This window comes from Homo sapiens, chromosome 9, assembly GCF_000001405.40.
Source record: "Homo sapiens chromosome 9, GRCh38.p14 Primary Assembly".
NCBI classification, from domain to species: domain Eukaryota; kingdom Metazoa; phylum Chordata; class Mammalia; order Primates; family Hominidae; genus Homo; species Homo sapiens.
In genome coordinates, this window is record NC_000009.12 from 115,932,604 (window position 1) to 115,958,313 (window position 25,710).

Sequence of the window (25,710 nt, forward strand, 5' to 3'; positions counted from 1 at the left end):
ATTGTCATAATTTTATACCTGAGGAAACTGAGGCACACAGTATTGTAGTAACTTGCCCAAGGTCACCAAGCTGGGATGGAATATTTGTCTGTCTCCAAAACGTCTACTATGGCATCCCTTCCACAAGATCCGTGTATGACAGGACGATTTTTCTCCTGTTTCCTTGCCTGAAAATTGGCTCTTTTCCTTTTCTATCTGCCTTCTTATCGCCATCATACTGACATTTCTCTGGTCCAGGGCATTACCACTTTCATCCCACTTACGTCTGCCCCTTATCTCCACTTCCTCGACATCACCCTGGTTCAAGGCATATTCACCTCTCATCTGAACTGGACACTCTGGGCCTGTCTCTTGCCAATTCATCTTCCATCATGTAGCATATGGGATCTTTCCCAAAACCAACATCGGCCATAGGTCTGACCCTTACTTTAAATGTTCAGTGGCTCTATTAGACATGGCCCCTTTAACATGTAAAACAAGGCTTTCACATTCCAATTTGTGTACCCCTTCTGCCTCACTTATTGCTAGTCTCTCTATCTCTTTCTCTGTGTGTGTGTTTTACACTTTATTCTCCACTCACAATAAGTTTCTGCTGCCTCCATTGTCATAATTTTTTCTTGACTCTTTAATTGAGCATATGCTGGTCCCAATTCCACCCACCTCTGATAATTCTTTCTTATCCTTCAGCTGTGAATTGGTATTCATGGAGGGCATCCCTGTGTGCTCCATATCCAGATTAGATACCCTTTCCACGTGCTTCCACTTCATGCCACACAGACCTTTGTCATAGCATCTCTTCTGCATCCATATTTACATCCCTTTGTGTGCTTCACCCACTTGTCTGCTCCATTACAGGAAGGACTGTCTCCTTTTTATCACTGTGTCCCCTGTCCCTGCCTTCATTGCATTTGATGAATAAGTAAAGTAATAAACAAAGGAATAGATGAGAGAAATTTAAGTTGGAAATCATGAAAATTAAAACCCCGTACCATTGTTTCCTTTGTGCTCCGAAGGTTCTTGACAATTCAAAATATAAAAGCGGCAAACACACAGAGGGGATTACAACTTGCGTTGAAGTCACTAATATTATTAGTGCTTCTCCTTATTGGACATTTGCTTCCCAAAGACAGTGAAGCTGGATGAATTAATGCTTCATCAATAGACCCACTGTAAAATACCATAAGTAGTTTAGATAACAGAAAAGAAGGCTTTTTGCCCTTGAATGCACTTTGATGTTCACTGAGGTGGTTAAGAATCTCTCAAAAGCAAGGGGAAAAATAATCCTCAAAGTTTCTTAAAACAAAGAGATTGAAATTCGCAAACTCTACCTCATTAAAAATACTGTACAGTTTCAAGTCCTCTGAAGACTCTCAATAAATATTAATTGAATTGAATGTGAATTGAATTAAGCAGAACACCTATGAATGACTCATTTTTTTCCTCAGAAAAATTTAAGGAGCTGTAACACCTGCTTATTGCGCTAAGATAATGGAAATTTCTAGGCATCAGCCATGGAGAGAAGAGGAAAGAGGTGAGAGGAGAAAGATAGATTACAATTAAACAGACGTCACTTCACATACCATTACATAGCTGTGTATCCTCAGGCAGCTTACTCAAATGAGCCTTGATTTGCTTGTCTTTAAACTGGAAATATTGATACTTATTTTTTGGAGATTACAAGTTTATTGTGAGAGTAAAACATATGTGTGTTTTAACTCTAAATTAGAATATACATTAAAGAAATTACTTATCAATCCATACAAATCATGCAATATATTGCCATGTCAATGTATTTGGACTTATTAGTCTCCGGAATTGCCTTTTGAGTGGTGTGGTAAACTCACTACTCTCTCTCTCACTCTCACTCATTCTCTCACTCATTTTCTCTCTCTCTCTCTCTCTCTCTCTCTCTCCATATATATATATATATTCCCTGCCTGATATTACATAGTACATGGAGGCAGGAGGCAGGATGAGGAGGGGAATTAGCATGGATTTGAGACACCAGAAGACTGAACTTCAATCCTGGTTTCCCTGAATTCCCTTCTGTGTGACCTCAGGCAAATCATCCACTTTCTCAAAGCCTTAGTATTATGGGAATTTAATATATAATGTATTTCAGTGGGTTTTGCAAAATACTGCATGAAAGCCTTGGTTCATATTATTTAAAGCAGGGGTTCTCAACTAGGGGCAGTTTTACACAAACACCCCTAGGGATATTTGGCAATGTCTAGAGGCATGTTTTTACACTGTAGGAAAGGGGAGTGCTACTGGCACCTAGGAGGTAGAGGCCAGGGATGCTGCTCAACATCCTGCAATGCACAGGGCAGTCTCTTTTCACTCCTCAGCAAAGAATAATCTGGCCCCAAATTTCAGTAGTATGGAGTTGAGAAACCCTAATTTAAATGTTGATATAATGAAAATTTAAAGGTGGTCTCTTAATAAGAACATTCAAGAACATTTGTTTATTTCTTAAATGACCAATTAATGATAGCCAGCATGATCAGCATCTCATGGTGTATTTTTTCTTCTCCAGCTTTATTGGAGTATCATAGACAAATACAAGTAATATGTATTTTAGGTGTTCAACATTGTTTTGATATACTCATATATTGTGAAATGATTAACATCATTCATACGATTTGGCTGTGCTCCCACCCAAATCTCATCTTGAATTGTAGTTCCCATAATCCCCCACATGTCATGGGTAGGACCCGGTGGGGAAGAGGTAATTTAATCATGGAGGAAGTTACCCTCATGCTATTCTCATAATAGTGAGTTCTCATGAGATCTAATCATTTTATAAGAGACTTTTCCCCTTTTTGCTTGGCACTTCTTGCTGCTGCTCTTCACTCTTCACTCTGCACTTCTCTTTTCTGCTGCCATGTGAAGAAGGACATGTCTGCTTCCCCTTCTGTCATGATTGTACATTTCCTGAGGCCTCCCAGCCATGCTGAACTATGAGTCAATTAAACCTCTTTTCTTTATAAATTACCCCAGTCTTAGATATGTCTGTATTAGCAGTGTGAGAATGGACTAATACAATCATCAAACTAATTAAAATATCCATCAACTCACATAGTTACCTTGTGTGTGTGTTGAGAACATTTAAGATCTACTCCTAGCAAATTTTGATTATTCAATACAGTATTTTAACTATAGTCACCGTATGGTACATTAGATCTCTAGAACATATTTCATCCTGAGTAACTGGAAGTTTGTACTCTGATCAACATCTTCCCATTTTCCCCACCCCCACACAGCTCCTGGCAACCACCATTCTACTCTTTGCTTCTCTGAATTTGATATTTTTAGGTTAAAAAACACACAACAATGAAATTATAGTCTCTCTATTAAATCGTAATGGGAAAACTGGATCTCCACATGTTGAAAGAAATTAGACTTTTATCTCACATCATATACAAAAGTTAACTCAAAAGGGATTAGACTTAAACATAAGATTTGAAACTGTAAAAATCACTGCAGAAAAACATAGGAAAAATTGTTTTCATATTATCCTGGGCAATGATAACACCCCAAAAAACAGGCAACAAAAGCAAAAATAGACAAATGGTATTGCAAGAAACTAAAAAGCTTCTGCACAGCAAAGGAAATAATCAATAGAGTGAAAATACAGCCTATGGAATGAGAGAAAGTATTTCCAAACTGTACATCATGTAAGGTGTTAATATCCAAAATGCATAAGGAACCCAAATAACTCAATAGGAAGGAAACAACCCAATTTAAAAATGGGCAAAGGTCCTGACTAGACACTTACCAAAGAGGACATACAAATCGTCAACAGGAATATAAAAAATTGTATACATCACTAATCATCAGAGAAATGCAAATTGAAACTACAATGAGATATTACTTCATACCTGTTAGAATGCTATTATTTAAAAAAAAAAAAAACCTAAGGGTTGGTGACAATATCTAGAAGAGAGGTCCTCTGCACATTGTTGGTGGGAAGGTAAATTGGTATAACCATTATGGAAAACAGTATGTAGGTTCCTCAAAACATTAAAACTAAAACTCCCATACAATCCAGCAATCTTACTCCTGGGTATATATCTAGAAGAAATAAAATAAATATGTTGAGGTATCAACAGTCCTATGTTCATTACAGCATTATTTGCAATTGACAAGATATTGAATCAACCGAAATATCCATGTATGAATGAATAGATAAAGAAAATGTGGTATGTATACACAATAGAATATCATTCAGCCTTTTAAAAAGAAATCTTGCCATTTATGACAGAATGGATAATCCTGGTTTTTTCAGATTCACCCATATCATGGGAGAAGATATTATGATTCTTTGATCTAATGGCCTTTCAAAAGAATGTGTTTCTGTGTGAAAACACACGTGTGTATGTGTGTTCAACATGTTCTTTGAGTGCTTTCTGCTTTTGCCTATAAAACAGAGCACTCCTGTGAGGTAAATAGAGCAGAAAGTATTACCCCCATTTAACAAGTAAGAAAATCAATGTCCAGAGGCCGCATGACTTGACTGAAGTCACAAAGCTATTAAGTAGTGAAGGATATTTTGTATGTGTCTGGACATCAGAATTTAATAGCTATATAGAAGCTGATGCAGGTGGGCATACATGCTGAGATTTAGTATTTGTTTTGATTCAACATTTCAGTTAAAATCAGCAAGAATTAGTTAGGTATTAACACTAAGTTTGTCATACCTAAATGACACAATTCCTGCCACCAAATTTTCAGAGACTAGGATAAATTTCTAATCTGAATATTGCATGAATATAATGATGTTAAGGAAAAGTTGATTTCTAAATTAGGGTGAACAGGTGTTCAAATAAATGTTCTAGGAAAACGGGGTAATCACATGAAATTTAAAAAGTTAATATAAATAACGAACTCTTTCCAACATAACATGTTATGTACTCCAACATACATATATACAAATATGTGTTATATTCCCAAATGGATTTTAAGTCCCTTGTAAATAGTGACTCTTTCTCATACCATCATTAAGATGGTGCTTGGCTCATATTTGGTTCCTAATTTAAAGAAAATGTTTGGGGAGGGGAGGAGGGCAAAGCATAAATATATTGAAAAGATCATCTAGAAAACCAAGGAAGGATTACATTGATGGAGTAATAATTATATTTAAAATATGTGGTGGATTATTATTTTTAAAGAGTTCTCTACTATAAATAACATCCCTCCAAATAAATAGGACTCCCTTCACTGAATGAAATGCATGCATTTCCATATATAAATTAAATGATCTGTCAGCATGGAATGGAGAAAAGTGAAACAAATCAAACTGAATTTCAACCCTGTACTGGACTTCATAGAGTTGTCCCTAAACCTCTTGGAACATTATTCAACTAGCCCCTAGCCCATTGAAGTGGATTCTGTTTCTTCGCTTCACTTAGAGGGCAGGATTGCTGTGAAATTCAAATGAAAACCCCTCTGTGAAAGCTGAACCATGAGGTAACTAGCATCCTAAACCTGCCTAACCTTCACACAGGCAACTGCCAGTCAACAGTTCTTCAAGAACTGATGAGCTCATGATCAAGAACATGCCAACCAGGCAGAAAAGTAATCTTAAATGAGCAGCTTCTTAAAAAAGGAGAAGAAATAGAAGAAGAAAGATGATGGAAAGGAGGAAGGGATATCCAAAACAGATTAGAGAGAAGAGAAAAAATACCTTCAATCATTTGACCCCTCTAATTTCTCCCTACCAGTCATGCCCAGACTTCCCTTTCTTTCCACAGCTTAGATCCTGGGTGCCCACTTTAAAGAATTCCTTTATCAATAGAATATTTTTACTTCCTCTACTATGCAATATTCACTGATTTGCTTTATTAATGTTACAATCTGAACACTGCTGCTGAAAACTGGGAGAATTAAAAAAAATGTCCAACCCTGTGAATTGGGGCTACAAGAAATTGATAGTCTCAGACCTTGAGCTCTCAACACTCTATGGATTTGTCTATTCAACACAGAGCAATCATTCATGTTTCTCCTACACGCTCCTCTCAAGCTTCCTCCCTGGCCACTATTTCACTGATCCCAAGTGAGTCTGGAAGCTCTACCAATTCTTGGCTCTCCACAGATAAAACCTTCCTTTATTAGTAATAGAATCCAGGACAGGAAATTTCTTCAGTGTTCTCCCACAAGTCTTTAAGATAAGCTTCATTTCCATCCATTTTCCTCTCTTTCTTCCATCACAATATATGGCTGTGTCCCTTGCTATCTAAAGTTTATCCCTCCATCTGTGCTCTGGTGAACTTCTCCAGAACTTGTCCCTTTGAGCTATCCCCATGCCATCGTGTGTCATCAACCCCATCCTTCCTTCTCCCATGAATCCTTTCCATCAGCGCTACACAGAGGATATGTTCACCCATGTTAAGATGCTGAAGTTTCTCCCAGATAACAAACCACAAAACAAGCTGAGTGTGTGTCCTCTTCCAGTTACTAACATTTTTGTTTTCAGCCCTTTGCAACCTAACTTCTATAAGAATTGTGCATACTCCTAGTCTCTCATTTCTCATCCCCTATTTTCAAATCAACCCATTATCATCTGGCTTTCTTCCCTTCATTCATATCTCATCCCAATGGCACATGCCATTGTGCAATATGTAATTCATAAATATTTGGTGAATGAATCAAACTTGTTTTACCCCACCTCTCCACTATCTTTAGCCAAGTTTATCAAAGACCTCACTGTTGCTATATCCAATAAATGTTGCTCATTTTATCAAATGGGCTTATTCACAGCGTATGACACTGCTGTCATCATGTCTCCTGGATTCCTTTTTTTTTTCCCTATAACAGCTCTATCAAGCTATAATTCACATGCCTTAAAATTCACCTTTTTTGAAATGTACAACTGAGTGATTTGTAATATATTCACAGAGTTGTGCAATCTTAACAACTACTTAATTCCAGAACATTTACATCACTTCAAAGAAACCCCATACCCTATAGCAGTCACTCCCAATTCTCTTCTTCCACCCATTCCCTGGAAACCACTAATCTACTTTCCGTCTCTTTGGATTTAACTACTCAGGACATTTTATGTAAGTGAAGTCATTTAAAATGTGGTCTTTTGTGACTGGCTTATTTCACTTAGCATAATATTTTCAAGATTTATTCATGTTGTAGCATGTATCAGTATGTCATTTTTAAATGGCTGAGTAATATTCCATTGCATATATATATCACATTTTGTTTATCCATTCACCTGTTGATGAACAATTGGGTTGCTTCTAATTTGTTACTATGAATAATGCTGTTACGGAAATGTGTGTACAAGTTTTTGTATGAAAGTGCATTTTTATTTTTCTTAGTTATATACCTAAGACTGGAATTGCTAGGTCATATGGTAACTCTATGTTTAACATTTTGAAGAAATGTCAAGTTTATTTCCAAAGGAGGTGTACCATTTAACATTTCTGCCAGCAATATATGAGGGTATCATTTTCTCCACCATTTTCATCCTTGTCAAACTTTTTACTATCTTTTAAAATTTTAGCCATCCTAGTCAATGTGAAGTAGTGTCTCACTGTAGTTCTGTTTTTAATTTTCCTCATGTCATATTATCTTGAACATCTTTTCATGGGTTTATTGGCCATTTCTATATCTTTGTTTGAAGAGGAATGTCTACTCAGATATGTGCTCATTTTTTAATTGCATTATTTCTCTTTATTGTTGAGTTGTGATCATTCCTTATATATTTAGCCTTTAGAATATATAAGGAATGATCACAGAGATAAAAGTACAAAACTCTTATAGAGACTCTTATGAAATATATGGCTTGCAAACATTTTCTCTCATTATCTGGGTTGCCTTTTCACTTTCTTGGTGGCGACCTTTGAAGCGAAAACTTTTTAAACTTGATCTTATCCAGTTTGCCTACTTATTCTGTCTTCACTTATGCTTCCAGTATCATATCTAAGAAACTTTTGCCTAACCCAAAGTCATGAATATATACTACTATATTTACTTACAAGACTTTCGTACTTTTATCTCTGATATTTAGGTCTATGATCCATTTTATGTTAGCTTTTCTGTACAGTGTAAGGAAGGGTCCACCTTCATTTTTTTCCAGGTAGATAGCCAGTTGTTTCAGCACCACTTGTTGAAAAGACTATTTCTTTTCATATCGATTTGTCCAGGCAACCTTGTCAAAAATCAATCAACTATATTGTAAGGATTTACTTCTGAATTTTCATTTCCACTGCATTAGTTTATAGCCTATCTCTCTGCAAGTACAACATTTTCTTAAATACCATACTTTTGTTTAAGTTATGAAATTAAAAAGTGTGAATTTTTAACTTTATTTTCCTTTTTAAAAATCATTTTGGTCCTTCTTGGTCCCTTACATTTTCCTATAAGTTTTAAAATCAGTTTGTCAATTTCTGCAGAAAGTGGCACTAGGATTTTGATAGGGACTGCATTGAATTTATAGTTCAATTTGGGAAGTACTGCTATCTTAACAATATTAAATTTTTCAATCTATAAATGTGGTTAAATTTCAATTTATTTAGGTCTTCTTTAATTTCCTTCAGCAATGTCTTGTAGTTTCAGTGTACACGTCTTGCATTTCTAAACCTCGTGGACTATGTATTTTTAAAAAATTAATTAATAAACTTTGGTACAGCAGAATTTAAACTATCTAATAATTATAATAAGTTACCTGAATATACTCCCAATGAAGAATCTTTGTGTTTTTATTATATTTCTTTAACATAGGAAACCCTTTTAATCCATGTACGATATTATTTAGTTTATAATTATGTGTTTGGGCCATACCTTCCTGTTTCTTAGTGTGTTTCACAGCTTCGTGTTGAAAACTGGAATTTTTCATAATCTAATGTGGCAACTCTGGAAATAAGATTCCTCACTTCCCAGGGTTTTCCACTGTTACTGTTTGTTGTTCCTGCTGTTTGAAGTTTGTTTGGTGACTTTACTCAACTTATTATTTAAAGTCTGCACTGTGTTGTGTGTGGCCACTGAAGTCTCTGCTGAGTTAGCTTAGTGGTCAGGGAATGATTGGATAAAAATTTGCATGAATGACTTGAACCCATAGGTCTCTCACACTTTACCATGGAGCCCTGAGTGGATGTGTTGGGGCACCATTTCAACACTGCCAGTTTTCAACTCTGCCTTAGCTTTCAGTTCCTGTTTATGCAGATCCTCAGTGTCAGCCAGCATAAGATATTGGGATCTTCTCAAGTCTTTCCCGAGCATTCTCACAGCCCTGCACATGTACATCATTTTCTAGATGCCCTTGAATATGTTGGAGTCTTTTAAAGCCCCCTGTAAATGTTTCATTTTTCAGCTTTTTCCTTTAAGGGTCTTAGCTAGCCTCTTATTTGCCCTAATTGATACAACTTGTATCACTGCTTCAGGCAGCTTCAATTTAAATGATGGACACTGTTCATTTTTCACAAACACCCTGGGGATACAGCATTTCCCCAGTGAATGAGCTCTGAGTCAGTTAAAATAAAGCCAGTCTCCATGAATGGGGCTTTCCAGGGAGTTGTCAGGCAGGTCAGATAGTGATAGTTCTCTAGGAATGGACTTTTGGGAGATCTCTAAACACTTTCTATCCCATCCAGTAGCTGTAAGACTGCTGGTTTTCACAATTACCATGCTCGTGAGGCTGTTGGTTTTCACTGCTACTGTGCAGGAAAACAGAAATAGAAATAGTGTGTGTTAAAATGCTACAAAGCTCTTTGCTATTCTTACAGAAATTCAGCTATTTTTCTTCAACAAACATTCTTCAGATTGTTACAAGCTTTTGATTAAGTTTTACAGCTCTGTAAAAGTTTATTTTGTCAATTTTTTTAGTGTTCTTTTTGCTGTTATGAAGTAGATTTTCAGAAGTCTTCACTCCAGCTTTCAGAAAGTGTTCCTTCTCCTAATTATCTCTATCTCTCTGGCTACTCTTGGAAGGTTTAAAGGCTTTTCTTCTTAATGCTTATGGCCCATAACTGGTTTTTGTTGTTGTTGTTAGAGTTCTATGTTCGAGGCTCTCCCCTGCTCTCTCACCTTTAATCAAGTCCTTGGATATCCTGATTCACTGCTATGGCTTCTGGTAGCATCTTTGTGAAGGTGACTTCTCATTTGTAACTCCAGCACATGTGCTTCTTCTGAACTCCACACTGTTTTATCTAAGTATCTGTAGATATCTCTTGAAAGACTCACAGACATCTTAAATCCAATCTGTTCAAAAGTAAATGCATCACAAACTTTTTCCTCCAACCCCATATCTGCATTTTGATGTTCCTTATCACAATTTATGGCACTACTATATACATAGTCAAAAAAATCAACCAACAGCAACCCTTCATACTTCCTTTCTCTATCCCATACAGCAGCTCAAGTGGTATTGTATCTGATAATCCCATTTTCCTGCATTTTGATAACATTACTTCCCATTTCTTGGCCACTTGCTACATTTACAAGGAAATTAAAGTGCTTTAATGAAATCTACAAAGAACTTCAAGATTTGGATTCTGTCATGCTCTCCAGGATCATGTTTTTATACTCTGCCAGCCACCTTGAATTTTCATTTTCATATTTACCTTATCTTTAGTATTTGCTGTCCTGAGAGAAATCTCCATGTGCTTATATTAGATCTCACAAATTTTTGTGTATGCTGCCTTGAGTTGGATTCTGTTACTTGCAACCAAAGAATCCTAAATAACAAAATAAGCTTCACAGCATAACTACAGCATTAGTTATCTTGCTTTACCCATTGTTCTAATTTTTCTTACCAATATATCTACTCTTAGCTGAGCTGATGAGGCTGCTGTCACACCCAGTGTGGTCCAGACTCTTCCAGTCTATCTTCTTGTTATGTTCTTGACAGATCTCATCAGCAAACTCTCTCCTCACAGCTCATATTATGCCAAGAGATCAGCCCTACCCATTAATTTAGTCTCTGAATAGAAAGCTGCTGTCTCTCTCTCATTTTTTTTTTCTCTTCTCAGACAAAATCCCCCTTCTGTCAGGAAGAAAAAAAAAATGGTGTGTTTACTATTTACAACTAGTATATGAACTGTTATTGTCCTAGGAGCAAAACCCAACTGGACAGTTTTCTCTTTTCTGTCTCCAGTATATGTAGATTACATAACCCCTTTGAGAACTGTAAAATGGCACACAATGGTTATTATTTATTCTAACTGCAGGGAGGCAGATTTAGGTTCTGGGATTATCATTTGTTTAAATTCATGTTCATTGATCATGGGGGCAGTTTAAGATACAAATTGGTCCTTGGCTCTGACAAGCATGTGTTGCTAACCTGTTTCCTCTTACTGGCTAGTTCCTGACTTTGAGATAGTGGTTTTACCATTCCATCTCCCTTTCTTTCCTTTTTATTCTTTTTTTAAAATTTATAAAATCTGGTAAAGTCCATCAAAACTTGAGGATTGTTAGGAGAATTAACTATGTGAATGGACACAAAAAGCCTAATATGGGATCTTGTCAGTGAGCCATTCAATAGATGACAGCTTAGTTTATTGTCATCAGCATGGTCATTCACCATGCAACCTCTGCTGTTAACAGATTTCAGACTGTAATCTTTTGTTTCTTCTTTCTAATCCTGCACTTCCTCTGACTGTTCCATTTTGGTTCCGAGCAAGCAGGCCGCTTGTGTCTGAATCTGGCCAATCCTGAAATCTCTGCTTGGCTTTGTCAGACAAGTTCAGGCATGCACAGACATGTCCATGAGTTTCTCAGAAGGTTGACTCTGCCAAAGCCAGAACACCACTCCCCCACTTTCCACTGGGTCCTGTGCTCCAAGCTATTGGACATAAGTTTGTGCTTTCGAAACTTCAGTATTTACACGGAATCTGTGCCTCTGATTTACCCAGTGTCCAGCTGCTGATACTTATCTTGAAATTTCTAAGTGCAGGGCTGCAATCAAAGCATCAGGGCACAGAAATGAACAAATAAAGATGTTTGGGGACTGCCTGCTTTTCTCATGCGATTTGCACATTTTTCTTGGCTTGCGTAATCTGAGGAGGCTGGGACCATAGGCCCCTTCATTCCTTGGCCCAGTGGCAGCACATGGCAATGTTACAAATACGGGAGCTGGACATTCAGGAGGGGCCTCACCCCTGCTAGGAAAGCATCCACCTCTGTGCCTCCCAGACAGCGTTGACGCATTCAGACAAGCTGGACAAAGAACGTACAGTCTACATTCCCTGGCCTTTGAAGGGAAGATGTTGCAATGTACAGGCAGTTGGAGTGTTTTGCCTAATTCATCAAAACATTCACATTTGCTAGTAATACAATGCATCTATGATGAGAAGGACTTAGGGGAAGGCACTGTGGATTAAGGGTAAAATGGCTCATGTCCCCTAATTTCTACCATTCGGCTAAGCTTTGAAGCAGCCTCCCTTCATTCATGAAAGTGTTGCAGGGTTGTTAAAAATGCATGGGCTTTGGAACCAGATGGATCTGTGGTTCAGACTTGCTAGCTGTGGGATCTTGGGCAACATACCCTTTCTAAAGCCTCTGCTCTCATCTGGAAAGTCAGGGCAGTAAAACAAAACTCTTAGAGCTTTTACAAGGATTCTTTGAGATAATGTATAGTGATTAGCAGGGTAACACACACAGTAAGTGCTATAAATGAACTTTTATCATTCACCTACTTTTTAAGTGCCTACCATGTGCCAGGCACCCAGCCAGGCACTTAGCATTTCTTTGCACCTCAATTTGATTGGACATTGCAATGGGAGTTGGAACACAAGGAGAAGCATATTTGAAAGAGGCAATGAAGACTTAACTTTAGACCCAGTATCACCTAAAATGAAACCATATGGCTTTGGGCAAGAGATATTTCTCTAGACCTCAGTTACTTCAGCTGAAAAGCAGAGTAACCATTTCTGTCCTAAGAACTAATGAGGAAGGCATAACAATTATTATTACAATTATAATAGATGGCATTAATATAGAGCTTATTTGCTTCTTAGCACTTTCTAAGCATTTTACATTTACTGATTTATTTACTCTTCACAACTACCCTAGGAGAATTATTACACAGATTCGACTAACAAAGGAATTAAGAGACCAAGAAGTTAAATGGTTTATTCATAGATAGTAATCAGAAATCAGCTAGTCTGGCTCCAGAGTCTTTTCCCTCAATCATCACACTTTGTACTTGGTGGACAATAAAACCTTGCATAAATATGAAGATTTATTACTATGCTGGAAAATTCTACCTAAAAAACTAGTATTTTGATCTAATCATTGTAGGCTCCAATATGGTTATTTTTAAGAGATCTGAATCAATTTCTCTATAATTTATTTTTTCTCAGGATTTTATTATAAAAATTTTCAAATAAACAGTATAGTTTAAGTATTTTTATAGTAAACATACATATACCTACCACTCAGATTCTGTAACTAACCTTTCACTATTAATATAATTGTCTTATCACATACCTCTCTCTAGATCTCCCCCCTCTCTCTCCATCAATCTATCTTATTTGTGACATGTTTAAAACTAAGTTGGAAGGCATCACTACATTTCACCCAATTCTCCAGTATGAATGTCATTAATTAGAATTTAATCTACTTTATGATCCATTTTGTTCTTTTCCAAAATGAATTTTAGGTTTCATATCTGCAATGAAGATTTGTAAATCTCAGAAAATACTAAGAAATTAATATTTCTTAGTAAGAAAATACTCAGAAATTGATAAATTAACAACAAACCATGGGACAGTCTACTTTTAATATTGTAAATTCATTAATATTATCATTATTATTACTATTGTAGTTGATTTTCACACCTGATTTTTCAATCCTAACAGCCAGTCTGCTATTCAGCTGCTATTTTTCCTGTTCAGACCTTCCATTTCATCCCCAGACATAATGACTCCTGCTCAATTTTTCCCATTTCCACCCTCACCCTCTTGTGCCCAAATTCAACCACAGTTTGCTCTCTGCCAGACCTCCATATATCCAGTGGGATTCCAATGCTGCCACAGAATTCCACATGGTATCCAAGTATCTGACTGACCCAGCCAATTATTACAATAGCACCTTATATTTAGTTGGTGCTGGTTCATTATTTCATTCAGTAAGTATTTATCAAGAGCCTATTTAACCAGGTGACCAGGAAGGGGGAGGGCAAAGAGTGAGCTAGGAGCATTGAGTAAATAAAGAATTAGATCAACTAACTCACATGTATGACGTAACTTCTGTGTACACAACATTGCCATCAAGGAGTCAAGTCAGGGGAAGAAAACAAATGCACATGAAACAATTGGAGACCAGCTGTAGAGAGAGAAACAAGCAAAATTTCGTGTAGTCATGTAGAATGGTTTGTTTGCATATCTGCCAAAGAGATGTAGAATAAAAATGCTTGTAGGATTCCACTTCCAGAGAGAAATGAGACTGTAAATTAATATTGGTTCGACCTAAGGCCATGTCCTAATAGACGGAATAAAAAAGAGTTTTTTTAAAAAAATAGAATTATTAAATAAAATGTTTTTTTAAAAAAATAATTATGTTGGGCAATTGATAAAATGTCTTAGAATATGTGAAGAGGCCAGCCGCGGTGCCTTACACCTGTAATCCCAGCAATTTGGGAGGCCAAGGTGGGCAGATCACCTGAGGTCAGGAGTTTGAGACCAGCCTGGCCAACATGGTGAAGCCCTGCCGTCTCTACTAAAAATACAAAAATTACCCAAGTGTGGCGGCGAGTGCCTGTGATCCCAGCTACTCGGGAGGCTGAGGCAAGAGAATCACTTAAACCCAGGAGGTGGAGGTTGCAGTGAGCTGAGATCATGCCACTGAACTCCAGTCTGGGAGAAAAAGTGAGACTCCGTCACAAAACAAAAAAAAAGAATATGTGAAGAGATTGAGCGAAGGAGTCAAAAACTTAAAGCTGGAGCCAGAGCCAGATGCCACAAGGATGAATTCGATACAATGAGAAAGATGGTTGTGATTCAGAGATAATATCTTTTCTAGTACTGTTAGAGCTGAAAGTGTTTGGCAGCATATTGTGTGCCCAAATCAGACAGAGATGAGTGGTAACATTCTACTTAATTGATGAAGAATTAGTAAACAGAGATTGGACCCCAGGGAAGTGACCAAAGGAAAATCCAACAAGAAGAAGCCAATGATTGTAAAGACTGAAAGAACTATCGGTAGCAAATTCAAGAAGTCATATGGAATGAATACAAGTTGGTGTCCTGATTCTGTTGCCTTCTAGGTACACGAACTCCAGTTTGATGAGCTCCAGCGTTCTAAGTTATAAAAGTAGAATAGAATTTGCTCTTAAGGGGTGTTGTATGGGTTGAATGAGATGCTAAACAAAACATGTGTAGCATAGGTCCTGGTTGAGACAGTTTGCTGATAATTTCAGTTTGTTTTCTGCACTTGGATCCTTTCAGCCTAGGGAGCATAGAATTGTGGGAATTCCCACTGAACATCATGAGCCTTTGTTGTGGCCAGAGTTAATGGATCTGGCCCATGTTCTACATTGCCTTTGAGCATGTGTGGTGACTTTGAGTGAATAACTTTTTTAAAAAAAGAAAAAGGCACCTTTTGGGGAATGTTAGTTGTTTAAATTTCTTCCTCAGATAAAAATAATAATAATAATAAAAATAAAGCCATCATTTCACCAAGCCTGGGCACATAGGTTGGTGAATACAGCACAGATTGGGTTTGAGCCCCCACTCATCCTCTCAGCCACGACAGCCCCTCCCTGTCCGTGGTTTCAAGCAACATTATTGGGAGAAGAGAGAAATTAGACTATCTGATACACCAAAAAGGGAATTAATAGGTACCATCAAAGGAGGCATTCAGAAACTAAGAACCGTCTATTTGGGTGACTGGAATTGACCGAAGGCATTAGAGAACTTCTAGTGTCTTCTCATCTCTAGGATTTGAGAACTAAGACTCTATATTCTATTGTAGCCTTAACCCCACCACATTATACTACCCTTTGTATATAAATAGGGTTACATTAAAGATGATAATCTATATTTTCTTTTGCATAACAAAGGATTTTAACTCTAAACCTCAATTTGTTAACTCTTTGAAGACTATAGATGCCATACATAGGTTCAAATGAAGCCCATTCACTCCAGGTACTTTATGATAGTCACTATGTTTTACATTTACATTTACTTCCCCATTTCCCCCTCTTTCATGTTAGATGATGAATCCATTTGGAGAGGAAGCCTCAGGACTTCCAAGGACACGAACTTGTCAGGATGCTCCCAGAACTGGTATTTCTAGATGTTCTGCATTTCCAGGCACCCTCAAAATGCCAAAGTTTGACTGCGTGCTCCCCAACAGTGAGCAGAAGTTTATTTGCATCCATTCAGTGCCATATTTCTCTTCCTGAATACCAAAGATGCCATCTTTGTACTTCTGTGCCTCACAGAGACCCTGTGTAATTACCTATAACCTCAGTCTCTGGGTCATGCCAGACATATCATAGGCATGTGGTTGTTCTCACCATTCCACTTTCCTCCTTCTGTAAAACCTTCCCCATTCCATCACCTCCAACCAGTGCAAAACTACGCATATAAATAAACATGTACCCAGACAGTTTTCAAACATGTATGAATCCCAGCGTTAGCCACAGTTTGGGCTCATATTACTACATAGTAAATCTATCAGGAGTATTTGTGAAGTCCTTCACAGGATGGCCAACTGAACTGTGTTTTGGGGATACATTTTAAATGGAAAATCGGTTGATCCTGCTGTGCAGAAGTGCAGTCAAATAAGGATAGGTTTACTTTTCAAACATAACTGACTTTTTTTTAACAGAATAAAATAGTCTCATTTTAAACATGTTTAAAATTTCAGATCAACAAAAAAGGAAAGATCAAAAGAAAGAGAGAGAGAAAGAAAAGGAAGGATGGAAGGAAGGAAGGAAGGAAGGAAAGAAGGAAGGAAGGAAGCAAACTGCGGAGAAACTCACAATCCAGACAAGACGTCCGCTCAATTTTGGATTGTATCATTCCAGAATTTTCCACAACATACTTAATTAGCCTCTAATTTTTTTAATAAAACATTTCTAACATTGTGCTATTTTAAACCATAAACATTCTTATATCTTGAAGGAGATTCATGATTATCAACTTACAATAAGTTTTTAGAAGTGGAATCAGTGCCATACAACCCCACAGCCAATCATTTGGCAATTTTTGCCACTTTCATTTAAAAAGTGTATCCCAGGTCGGGCGTGGTGGTTCATTCCTGTAATCCCAGCACTTTGGGAGGCCGAGGCAGGTGGATCACGAGGTCAGGAGATCGAGACCATCATGGCTAACATGGTGAAACCCCGTCTCAACTAAAAATACAAAAAATTAGCTGGGCATGGTGGTGGGCACCTGTAGTCCCAGGTACTCAGGAGGCTGAGACAGGAGAATGGTGTGAACCTGGGAGGTGGAGCTTGCAGTGAGCCAAGATCTCGCCACTGCACTCCAGCGTGGGCGACAGAGCAAAACTCCATCTCAAAAAAATAAATAAATAAAATAATTTTAAAAAATTAAAAAATAAAAAATAGTGTATCCCAAATCCCAGTACCACTCATTATTTCCCCCTTCACCACCCCACTGCATCTCCCCTTACTCCATCACCCACATTCACTACCCTAGCCCACTCCTCCCAGTCCACTCCTCTCCCTAGTCCACCATCTCCTAGTTCACCTCTTTCTGGTCCACTTTCTATAGTCCATTTCACCATCGTCTATCACCCAAGTCTATCATCCCAGCCCATCTCTCCTAGCCCACCTTTCTTTAGTCCATTTCCACTTCATCATCACCCTAGTCCCTCACCCTGTTTCATTTTCCCCTAGTCTCCCTCCCCCAGACTATCATCCTAGTCCACCTCCCCTAGTGAGCCTTTCTTTTGTCCATTTCTCCTTTGTCCATCACTCTAGTCCATCACCCAGTTTCACTTCCCCCTAGTCCATCACTCCAGTCCCTCGCCCTGTTTCACTCCCCCATCACCAACATAGCCTCACTAGCCTCGTTACTTGTTTCCCTGCCTCTACGTGGGCCCTTTCATTTGTTTTCCACTTAATGGAATGAGAAATATATAAAAAAGGCAAGTCAGCTCATGTCAATCTCCTAGAACACTTGGAATCAAATCCCCATCATGGGCTCACAGACCTTCAAAAAACTGTCTAATCTCTACTCCCATTCACAAAGAACTAAAGGGGATAGTTTCAACTTGACCTGGCCATATTATTTTTATGTTTATTAACATCATCACAAAATAATGTTCTTAAAAGTTCAATGACTAGATTTTCATCTAATTATGAGTTTTCCTAGAAAATGACTCAAAATAAGGATGATATAAAACTTTAACAGCAAGCACATGTTTCTCCATAACCGAACTTCCTTTTCTACATATATAACTGTTTAGAAGTAATGTGTGTGAAGGAAGAAATGAACATCTTTTTAAAAAGCCCAAGAAGGTAAAACTTGAGAGACTGCTTGGTATATCAGAAAAAGCTTAATCTCTGGAATGAGAACCATTTGAATTCAAATTATAGAACCATCATTTACTCATTGAGTAACAAGGTAAATTTTTAACACCTGACTGAGATATAGTATCCTCATATATAATATAGAAATAATTATCACTTCTGTTTCTGTGTCCTAGTTAGGATTAAATAAAATACCATCCATAAAATCCATCTAGAACTTTGTCTGATGTGGTCAATAAATGAAGACTGGTTTTATCTGCATTCTTATCATATTGGTGACTACAGCTCTTCATTCTAAAACCTTGTAGAGAAAGGACATAATGGAATAAAGAGCTGTCCTCCAATATAGGAGGTATCATTTTTATGGAACAACGGGATGCTCTTAGGACAGAACTAAAGTTACTATTTAACAGACCTTAACCACGAAAAACTTGGTTCTGCCAGGTAGCACTACCCAGCAAATAATGGGACTCCCCAAAAAGGAGTTTAAAACTGAAGCCCTCAAGAAGAGGCAGGAAGGACAGTCATAGGTAAAGCTAGATCCTAGATAATGTCACTCCTGAGGTGTTATTAATCCTTAAATTTCCTTTATCAGTGCACCTCTGTGTTGCTTGACAATGGCAGACATTTGAAGGAAGATTTTCCCAGAGTCTCGCAAGCCATAGCTCTCAATCTTCTTCTCCATTGAGATAGAAACTTGGTGTCCATGTGCAATTATGAAAGTTTATGAACTCCAACATGCATCTTTAATATCTCAGCAGTTTGCCAAGAGCATAAAAAATGCCAATATTCTGTGAACATTCTTGTTTACTAATATAATTTAGAGCTCCTAAGTCCTTTGATTGTCAGCAGATTATAGTAAGAATAACATCACTTCTTGTGTTCTGGTACTCCCTATTTAAGCCCAGTTTCTTCTTTTAACAGCTTTCCATCTTCAGTAGTAAAGTCACTGCAGTAAGCTGTTCGTTGGCTGGAGACTAAAAGGAAATAGAGGACTTACTGATGTCTACCCAGTAAATAGTGCAGTTTTTGCATGTTCTCTATAACAGCCGGTAGATATCTATAGTCTGAGTCCTATAGTAAGACATCATCAGAATTTAACTAGCCTGCTCAGCCAAAACACGTGGCATAAGAGAAAGAGATGGCTCCAGCCCCTGTGAAACTCTTGCTCACTATGCGACCTTGAGCAATTTGCTCTCTCTCAATCTCTGTTCATCCTGGTTAAGAATATAGGCTTTGAATTAGGACAAATATCTAATGCATGTGGGGCTTAAAACCTAGATGACAGGTTGATAGCTGCAGCAAACCACCATGGTACATGTATACTTATGTAACAAACCTGCATGTTCTGCACGTGTATCCCAGAAGGTAAAGTAAAATAAAATTTTTTAAAAAAGAATATAGGCTTTGAATCTCACTGATCTGTGTCCAAAACCTGGCTCTGCTACTCACTAACTTTGTGACATTGGTTGATTTTCCTAATCTTTCAGAGCCTGAGTTTCTTTGTTTCTAAAATGGCGATTATAGCAATGATTCATTCCCCATAGAGGAATTCCTCTAAACTATTATGGTCATAACTCATAACTGCTAATTGCAATACCATATGTACAGTGCTTAACCAAGTGCTAGTACACTGCACTTCTCTAATTATGATAATTAGAGAAATATATTCTAATCCTAGAGAAGCCCTATGCATATCAGCTAGTGTCCTCAATTCTGTGTCATTAGTTGAATGTCTGGCTGAGACATCGCTATTTCCCGGTCATTCAAGCTAAAAATGTTTATTTATTTAACAATGGGTCATTTGGGCTGCTATCATGAGTCAGGCACTTTGTAAATTGTTGCAATATTTTGACCCCAGGACAGATGTATTTCTTCCTCCCGTAGTTCTTAGCACTTGCAGAGTTGCCACACAGTTACCAAAATCAATTGATTTTATTGCCTAAATATCTTTCAATCCCACCTTCTCCTCTTACTCCATCTCACTCTCACTAGCTCCTCAGTGCTAGTTCATCATCTCTTTGCTGGATGATCACAGCAGCCTTTTCATTGTGTTTCCTTGATTCCAGCCCAACACTTCTCCAGTCACTCTTCCCAATCAGTCACAAAGTAGTGCTTTACTAAAATACAGGCCTCATGCTTCCCAGAACAAAACTCAAACTCTTTGGAATTTCATATGCAGTCCTTCCTTATCTCCCTCTGTTGACCTCTAGCTTGATTTTTGACCACTTTCCTTCATGGGCAGGCTCAGGCCACACAAAGCAACTTAAAATTACCTAGTGTGCATTTGCTTTTCATGTTTCATGCTTCCGTGTCATTGGAGATGCGGTTTCCTCTCCTCAGAATACCTCTCTCCCTTGCCTCCTGGGAAAATTCATCCTTTAATATTCATTTCAAATGTCACCTTGATTGTAACTCAGAGTTGGACACTTTATCTTTTGAGCTATCTTTTTTCTTTGAACCTACCTCCAGAGTAAAACTTACTACTCTTGGTGTGTATTTTTTTTAATTATTTAATAGTTATCAGCTCAAATGTACCTCCTCTGGGAAGATTTCACTGACCACACCCTACCCCCAAGGACCCCAAAGCCATCAATTTCCACACTATATTGTTTTTCATATGACTCTCTGCTATTTACAAGTATAGCTCAATGAATCTTATAAATAATCTTTTGCAAAATAACCATATATTTATATAACTATAAAGCAATTAGCAAATTTTCTCATACTAAAAATTAAGAAACAGTATGCATCTCATTATTTATGTAAAAACAAAACAAAAGCGCTACCATCTCAAGTAAATATTGGATTAAAAACGTGCTGACTATTCAAACCGTAAAATTCTCCACATTTTATCCCTAGGTTAAGCCAGATCAGCAGAGAGTGGTATCCACTGGCCATATTCTTTGAGGTCCCTAAAGAATTGTCTTTATGGAATTATGATTTAGCACTAATCTTTCAGTGTTCATCCAGACTAATGCTATATACAACAAAGAAATATTTGCAAAATATCTTTTGCACTCTGGACATCTTCCAATGTATTCCTCAGTATCCTTTGTGACAAGTTCATCTCAGAAGTGGAATCCAGGGTAACATGTGTATCTATCTATACTTTCTTCTGCTAGATGCCAAAAGATAGATACCCATTAGGTTTCTCTCCTTGCCTAGGGTTACAGGAAGCTCAATGCTAATTTTGGCACTCAATTGTTACAACCTTACTCAACCAAGATTTTTAAAAATATGCTTTTATCTTTCCTTTACTAACTTCCTTGCTTCTTTTCTAGCTCTTAATATGTGGCTTTTCTCACCTACTGATTAAAGGATTTGTGGCAAAAAGACAATAAAGAATGTGGTAGTAGAAGCAGCATTCATTTTGTTTTTGTTTTTTCCCTTTTGTTGTTTTTCATTTTATTTCAAAATGATTTCAAACCTACAGAAAAAGTTGCAAGAATAATATGAATTCCCATTCATACACACACATAACAATACACACACACATTCACACACACACACACACACACACTTTTTTCTCCTGATTGATAGTTAACTGCTTACATCATGGCCCTTTACCTGTGAATAATCAGGGTGTATATACTAAGAAAAAGGATATTCTCTTACATTACTTAGTTATATTGTCAAGTTCAGCCATGTAGTATTGGTTTATTATGTAATACACAGTTCATTCTCAGATTCTGCTTATTACTCCAAAATGAAGAAACATGTTTTTTTGTTTGTTTGTTTGTTTTTGAGACAGAGTCTCCCTCTATCTCCCTTGCTGTAATGCAATGACAAAATCTTGGCTCACTGCAACCTCCGCCCCCCCCAGGTTCAAGCAATTCTCCCACCTCAGCCTGCTGAGTAGCTGGGATTACAGGCCTCGCCACCATGCCCAGATAATTTTTGTATTTTTAGTAGACACAGGGTTTCACATGTTGTCCAGGCTGGTCTCAAACTCCTGTCCTCAACTGATCCACCCACCTCGAATTCCCAAAGTGCTGGAATTGCAGCCATGAGCCATGCGCCCGGCCAGAAGCATGCATTTTGGAGTCACACAATACTAAGTTTCAAGGTCATCTCTGTCAGTTGCTAGTTGTATAACCTTAATCACTTCTACTTTAAGTTATTTCACTCAAAATCATGCTAATAACATTCTCTAGGTGTGGTTTTAAAGATTATGTGTGGAAAAAATATGCACATAAGCATATCTACCACACTGCTTAAAATTTAACATGAAATAATTTATTATTATTATTACATGTGCCTCCTCAAATCATTTGGAAAGTAGGCAACAAATACACAAATGGGCAAATGATAAAAGGGTGAGATAACTATGAAGACAAGAAGATTGTTCATGATCAAATGTGTAACAAATTACAAAAAAATTGACTGTGATGGCTTAGAATGGCTTCATAGAGAAAATAAAATGCTGGGCTTTAAAGAATGCATAGGATAGAGATTGAAATTCTCTAAAGAATAGCCAGGCACAGTGGTTCATGCCTGTAATCCCAGCACTTTAGGAGGCCGAGGCAGGCAGATCATTTGAGGTCAGGAGTTTGAGACCAGCCTGGCCTACATGGCAAAAACCCATTTCTACTAAAAATAAAAAAATTAGCAGGGCATGATGGCAGGTGCCTGTAATCCCAGCTACTTGGGAGGCTGAGGCAGGAGAATCGCTTGAACCCAGGAGGTTGGAGGTTTCAGTGAGCTGAGATTGTGCCACTGCACTCCGGCCTGGGCAACAGCATGAGACTCTGTCAAGAAAAAAAAAAAAAAAATTCTGTAAAGAATAGAAACAGGATGTTGTGGATAGTGAGACTTAGCAGGAAAGAGTAAAGTGAGGAAACCCAAAGCAGGCAAACCCCACTGCAAGTTTATCAACAAAAGTACCCTGACATGTATTATAATAATAAAAGTTAAAAATTCTGAAGACTCCTGCTCACACAATTGAGAGTCACTGAGCACCCAATGAAAAGTTAATTTCCTAAAATATTAAATGGGAAAAGAAGGATGATATTTGATACATTTTATCCCTTCCCAGATTTCAAGTGATTGAAGATGTAAAAATGCAACCAGGAGTAGCTCTGAGAAACACCAGGATTATCTATCCACCCTTCTGAAGCTGAGCAGCAGATTTATGGAATCAGAACAGGGAATGGACTGGGTGCTTAACACCAATTAGAGCTGCACATCTGAAGAAGGGAAGAGAAAGATCCAAAAATCTCACAAGATAGGAGGAGAGTGCAGATCAGAACCCACCACCTTCTCTGACTCCAAATGCAATGCTCTTGGCTTGTCTGCGCACCACTTCTTCTCCATCTCCAGGTCACTGCATTTAATTCTATCCCATCTGAGTATGTGAAATGGAAGCTTGTTTAGAAAAATCTTTTTATCTGCCACCTCCTGAATCTTAATTCGTCTTAGTGCCAAAATGTATAGTAATCCACAAAGCTGAAGAAGGCTGCATCATGTTTGGGACTTGTTCCCCGCTCATTTGGATGGCTGGATCAGAAACAACAGAAGAAAGAGTGCTTGTCTCTTGTGAGTTTGCCAACTGAGTATTTGGATTCAGATGGATCACACGCAACACATCAAATTGTTTTTAGCTCAGTATCCAAACATTTGATTTTTTTATCTACACTAATTCCAAATTTTATAAAGTTGTTGAAAGTTGCTTGTGGATAAGTTCATACATATTTGAAAAAGACACAACCAAAATACGTTTCTACTTGTCAGGTGGGACTGGGACAAAGGAAAATATGTTTGTAGAATGAGGGTAAATACTTCTTCCCTGGCAACAGATTTTTAAAAAAGAATTTAGAAAAGATGTAAGTGATGATCTATCATGGAGATGAATAACAGATTTTAGCAGACAGCTACTCTCTAGTGGAAAATGTTATGAAGAATCCTGAAGCTATACTCCTGCAATGCATGAGAGAGGGTCTCCATAGATTGAGGATGTCTGTCATGAACATAGGAGGTATCAGTGGCACACACAGATCAGGCATAAACCGCCTCTGATCTGACCTAACGAAATACTTTTCTAATGACAGACAGGGACAGTGGCTAAACAGACTCTGTACTTAGGTACAGAGCCTAGGTTTCCTGACTTCACTTTCTTGACTTTCATCATTCTAGCACAACTTAAAACCTGGTATCTTCCAGTTTGACAAAGAGAAGTCTCACCACATACCAAGCAGTTTCTTCAAATGTTTTGTTCTTTGAAACAAAATCAAAACAATCAGTAAAATAAAGTTTCCTCCTATTCCTGAAAAAATGGTCCAGACAGGCTCATAGACATCAATGCGGCCTTGTCACAACATCTCAACTCTTAGCCACACTCACAAGAAGAACTTGTAGATTCCTCATAGATGTTCTCAAGTTAGAAGGCAAAGCACAACCCTTTTTGACTTTTTCTAATTGATGCTTGTTTGCAGAAAGAGTAAACAAGGCCCAGATTTTTATTCATCTGTGGGGCTGTGGGTAGCTAATTTTTCTTTGAGCCTGCCAGGTTCTACATTATATAAGGAAGACTTTTTAAAAGAGGAGCCCTGCATTAATTTAGAGAGAAACCAGTTAGACCAAACATGCTTGTAACATATGGGAAGAGGCACAGAAGGCATGAGTTGTTCCGGACAGATGAGCAGAGGAGGGAGAGTGGGGGAGCAGAATTCTCCTTTTGTGATCCCTCCTGCTGATCTCACCCAAACAAACTCGTCTTAGAACTTCAGAGCCACAACTGGACAGAAAGCTACCCATTCTCTCTGCCTCCCACAGTCTCACTCTCTCTCTCTCTCTTTTTTTTTTTTTCATTTGACAGGATCTGAGCCAAATGGCTCTACACTTTCCTTGCACTGATTCAGAGCATATTCAAGTCATCTAGGGAAATGCATCTCCCTACATATGCTCATGTGGAAAAATAAACATACTAAAATAAAAAATTTGGGATTTGACCCCAATTTCTAGGATCTACTGTGTCTTCCAGGAGGGGATAATGGTATAACCTGGGGCTACATAAAAAACAAGCCCTAAAAGTACAGCTTATAAAATTAAAATGGTAGAGGCTGGGGATGGTGCTCACGCCTGTAATCCCAGCACTGTGGGAGGCCAAGGGGGGTGGATCACCTGAGCTCAGGAGTTCAAGACCAGTCTGGGCAACATGGTGAAACCCCACCTCTAAAAAAATAATAATAAATAAAATTAAATTAACATTAAAATGGGTGGATAGTGAGCAGCCTAGTGATCTACCACCTAGATTG

At 37.8% G+C, this 25,710-nt stretch overlaps 1 long non-coding RNA gene across 1 annotated transcript, besides 1 other annotated feature; it reads left to right on the forward strand.

Moving 5' to 3' along the window:
- The first annotated feature begins 6,942 nt into the window (after positions 1-6,942).
- On the forward strand, positions 6,943-25,410 carry LOC124902258 (uncharacterized). The gene is made up of 2 exons (XR_007061749.1): positions 6,943-7,061; positions 23,493-25,410. It is a non-coding gene; the product is annotated as an uncharacterized LOC124902258 (long non-coding RNA).
- Positions 11,139-12,338: an enhancer, noted in NCBI's record as "MED14-independent group 3 enhancer chr9:118706021-118707220 (GRCh37/hg19 assembly coordinates)". NCBI's record gives its function as "activates an origin of replication core promoter dependent on BRD2, BRD4, P300/CBP and CDK7 cofactors, and independent of MED14, by STARR-seq in HCT116 cells {active_cell/tissue: HCT116}" and the evidence as "EXISTENCE:reporter gene assay evidence [ECO:0000049][PMID:35650434]".
- Positions 25,411-25,710: the final 300 nt, after the last annotated feature.